General features: G+C 45.0%; 2 annotated features.

The window, feature by feature from the left end:
- Nucleotides 2897-3397: an enhancer, noted in NCBI's record as "H3K27ac hESC enhancer chr7:156194364-156194864 (GRCh37/hg19 assembly coordinates)". NCBI's record gives its function as "activates a minimal SCP1, AML or CMV promoter by ChIP-STARR-seq in naive H9 embryonic stem cells {active_cell/tissue: H9 hESC(naive)}" and the evidence as "EXISTENCE:reporter gene assay evidence [ECO:0000049][PMID:30033119]".
- Nucleotides 3398-3898: an enhancer, noted in NCBI's record as "H3K27ac hESC enhancer chr7:156194865-156195365 (GRCh37/hg19 assembly coordinates)". NCBI's record gives its function as "activates a minimal SCP1, AML or CMV promoter by ChIP-STARR-seq in naive H9 embryonic stem cells {active_cell/tissue: H9 hESC(naive)}" and the evidence as "EXISTENCE:reporter gene assay evidence [ECO:0000049][PMID:30033119]".

The raw sequence follows: 4159 nt of genomic DNA on the forward strand, positions 1-4159 counted from the left end.
TAGATCTGCGGTTCTAACCCAGTTTTACATTAGAATGACCCAGAAGCCTTTAAGACAAACTCTGCCCAGGCCCATACCTAGAGGTTTTTAAAAATTATTATTACTTAAATGGTCTAAGGCAGGGTCCAACCATTCATGTTTTTTAAAAGTTGGGAGATCCTAACCAAAAGTAAGACCCAAGAATGTGACAGAGAGAAAAACTGAGCTTTCTAGTTAAAGTGTATTACAATGAGAAGTATCTGTCTGAGCTTTCTAGTTAAACTTGTATTACAATGAGGAGTATCTGTCTGAGCTTTCTAGCTAAACGTGTATTACAATGAGAAGTATCTGTCTGAGCTTTCTAGCTAAACGTGTATTACAATGAGGAGTATCTGTCTGAGCTTTCTAGTTAAAGTGTATTACAATGAGGAGTATCTGTCTGAGCTTTCTAGTTAAACATGTATTACAATAAGAAGTATCTGTCTGAGCTTTCTAGTTAAAGTGTATTACAATGAGGAGTATCTGTCTGAGCTTTCTAGTTAAAGTGTATTACAATGAGGAGTATCTGTCTGAGCTTTCTAGTTAAAGTGTATTACAATGAGAAGTATCTGTCTTACCTAAACAGGAGAAGGAAATTCACATTTTTATCAGTGGAGGAATACTCAAGTAGGTGTTTCTGCTGTGTTGAGGACTTACCTTTGTGCCTAGAAGTAGTATATTAACTCTTTACTTAGGTTCTGACTTTTATTTCCCCATTTTAACAGGCTTTCTTTACCTTGATGCTCAAGCTGTTATCCTAAGCATTAAAGAAAAACATATCAACAAACTCTTCTCATCTTTCTATTAATTTAGAAGCGGACCAATTCCTCATAAAAAGTACTGAAAACAGGAATATCTCGCAATTGGTTCCCATGTATTTACACAGGGAACACACGTTTACGAATGAGATAACATCTTGGGTGCATGCCTGGAAGGAGGGGCACCAAAGCTTCATATCACGACATCAAAGCTGCAGAAAGATGAAAGGACATCTTTATATTTGCATCATAAACAAGTTTTACATATTATGATATTCCAAGAATCTTTCATTTTAACAGGTGGAAAAACAGTGACAGAGGCACCTATGTAAAACGCAGCCTTCCTTGTGGTTGGTGATTATTTTATATCGCTTTGATATAACCACTGCAATTAAGTGCTCGGATGAGCAAGGACTTGTTTCACTCTTTATAGGGCACACATTGTTTACTGATCCCTGGTTTAGGCGATAAATCCATCATCACTGGGCACAGCTGCAAATGCATTTTTAAAGGGATGATTTTTGTTCTGTAGAACAAATTTTAAATTTTGAATCTCCTTTTCTGAAGCCTTGTGACTTAAATCAGGCAGCTCGATCAGTTTCCAGCTGCTTGGTACAAGTGAGGATGTGCATTCTAACGGACACTCTACATTGGGACGTCTTCTCTGCAGATGCAGGCATTGTGATTCCATTTGCTGGCTGGTTGGTGGTGAGCAAGGGCTGTCACTCTTTACGCCTGTTAGAGCATCATGGGAGAGGTGGGTGAATGCCCTGGCTGTTGACTTCTCCTCCACATGCCACCCTCTGAGACTGATTCTGTGAAGGCCAGTCAGGAAGAGGTGTCTTACACCTGCCCTCCCTGTCGACCTTCCCCTCCCTTCCTCCCCCAGCCAGTGGCAGAAGGAGGGAGTGTCACATCACAGTCCTCCTGTCCTGGGTCTTCTCCACCTCAGACCTAAAGTCTTAGCAGTGGTGGAGCCTGCAGGGTCACAGGGCCTCACACCTGCCTCACTGGGCTGAGGCTAAACACACAGCACACCACTTATTCATCGCCTGTGGGGAAGGGCAAAAAGACAAGGAGCTTGACTCAGGAATGAGGGAATTAGGTTCCTTCTAATTGTACCTAGAACCTTTCAAAGAGTCCTACTCAAGTTTATTTGATTTCTCTCTCTCTTTTTTTTTTTTTTTTTTTTTTTTGAGATGGAGTCTCGCTCTGTCACTCTGGCTGGAGTGCAGTGGCGCAGTCTTAGCTCACTGCAACCTCCGCCCCCTGGGTTCAAGCAATTCTCCTGCCTCAGCCTCCCTAGTAGCTGGGATTACAGGCATGTATCACCATGCCCAGCTAATTTTTGTATTTTTAGTAGAGACAGGGTTTCACCATGTTAGCCAGGATGGTCTCAAACTCTTGACCTCAGGTGATCCACCTGCCTCAGCCTCCCAAAGTGCTGGGATTACAGGCGTGAGCCACCGCGCCCGGCCTATTTGATTTCTTAATTACAGAAGCACCTCTCTGAAATGGCTTCCACTTTCAAAATAAAGATGCTGTCATTCATTGCATACTATGGTCTACCTTCCAATGAGAAGGGTAAAATCATTAAAAGTTCCAGGGTGCAGCAGACTTAAACAAAAAATATTTCACTAAAACAGTTTTTCCTAGTTTAAACAATGTTATCTAATACAGAAACTGAAGTCTGTGTCAGAGATACATTCTGAAGACAAAGAACTTTAAAATACTTAAATAAATTAGATTTCTAGTGAAACTGAGAAGAGGCACATTTCACAGCAGCATCATTAAAGATAAACATTGCTATTTCATTAAACGCAAGAAGGAAAAGCAAACAAGGACTTGTTTCACGGGGCATTCCAAGAAGACACCGGGTGCCAGTTAGAATGGATTTCAGGGCAAGAAAACATCGATGACACAGAAAGGACCAAGGTCTTGCATATCTCTTTAATCAGCTAATATTTACTGGGCATGTACTTTTCTAGCACTATGCTAATTGCTAGGGAGTGCAAAATAACAAATGCCCTTTCTCCGAACCCTGGATATCCTTTTGGGAAGAGGGAGAGGAGAAATCATATTAAGTCAGTAAATGAGACAATGTTCTGGTGTGCGCTGCGGGTTCCACAGTAAAAACCAATGATCACATAGTATCAAAGTGTATAGCAAAGATGAGTTGGCCAGGAACATCTAATAATTCACTAAATCCCCAGGAAGTTGGACCAGAGACAAGGCCAGCAGCTCCCCGTGTCCCGCCAGCCGCTCTGCTGCGCCACACTGCCTGGTCCCTCCTCATGGTGACAGTCACAGCACATGGGGAAAAAAAAGTGTGTACTTTTGGAGTGGGTGGAAGGAGGACCACAAATTACAACAGTGCAAGACGTCGTCCCAGTCTTCTCCATAGTCATAGTCTCTTGCAGGTAAATGTGCAGTATTCCTAAGATGTCTGAGGTTTCTGTGACCGAATGGCAACAAGAAGGAGAGGCACCTGGTAACATTCAGGGCTCTCTGGACCTGCTGGTCTCAGCTCTGCAGGCTGAGACCCTGTGACCTCTGAGCAGGTCACTGCTGAGTTACACTGAGACCTCAGCGACCCCTGAGCGGGTCACTGCTGAGTTACACTCAGTCCCATCAGGCCTGTGGGGGCCACAGGGTTCTGGCCATTACACCCTAGTTATGAAATCCTCACACAAACAGCTCCTCTTTGCCCTAACTCCAGGTCTCTCCCCACACCCTGGGCCACTTACCCCCACTGCATCCCTTCAGCAAGACCCCAGCGGACACCTGGACTCCCTTCCTACCCCAAGGAGACCACGGGGAAGCCAGGAATATGTCCGCAGTTTCATCCACCGGCCAGTCCCACAGCAGCTGTGGCGCCATCTTGGGTGTGGCTGCAACTCCTGCTAGAGCATCATGGGAGAGGTGGGTGAATGTCCCGGCTGTTGACTACTACACGCCACCCTCTGAAACTTTGACTCTGTGAGGGCCAGTCAGGAAGAGGCGTCTTACGTCTTCCCTCGCTGTTGCCCTTCCCCTCCCTTCCTCCCCCAACCGGTGGCAGAAGGAGGGAGTGTCACTTCATGGTCCTCCTGTCCTGGGTCTTCTCCACCTCAGACCTAAAGTCTTAACCACAGCCCTTGTCCTCAGTGGGTTAATGGGAATAAAGGAATTTAGAGATTTTCTTTCTTGACTAAGCCTGGAATTCATGATCGTCTTGTCATTGTAAAGATCCTATTTGGGACATCAAACACTGAACATCAGCGTGCTTTGACCCTTCCCACTCCTGTGCACCAATTCTAGTCCTCCTGAGCCACGGGTGTCTCAAAGAAGAGGAAAGGCAGTGAGCTGAGATCGCGCCACCGCACTCCAGCCTGGGCGACAGA

The sequence above is a fragment of the Homo sapiens genome, chromosome 7 (genome assembly GCF_000001405.40).
Source record: "Homo sapiens chromosome 7, GRCh38.p14 Primary Assembly".
NCBI lineage: Eukaryota > Metazoa > Chordata > Mammalia > Primates > Hominidae > Homo > Homo sapiens.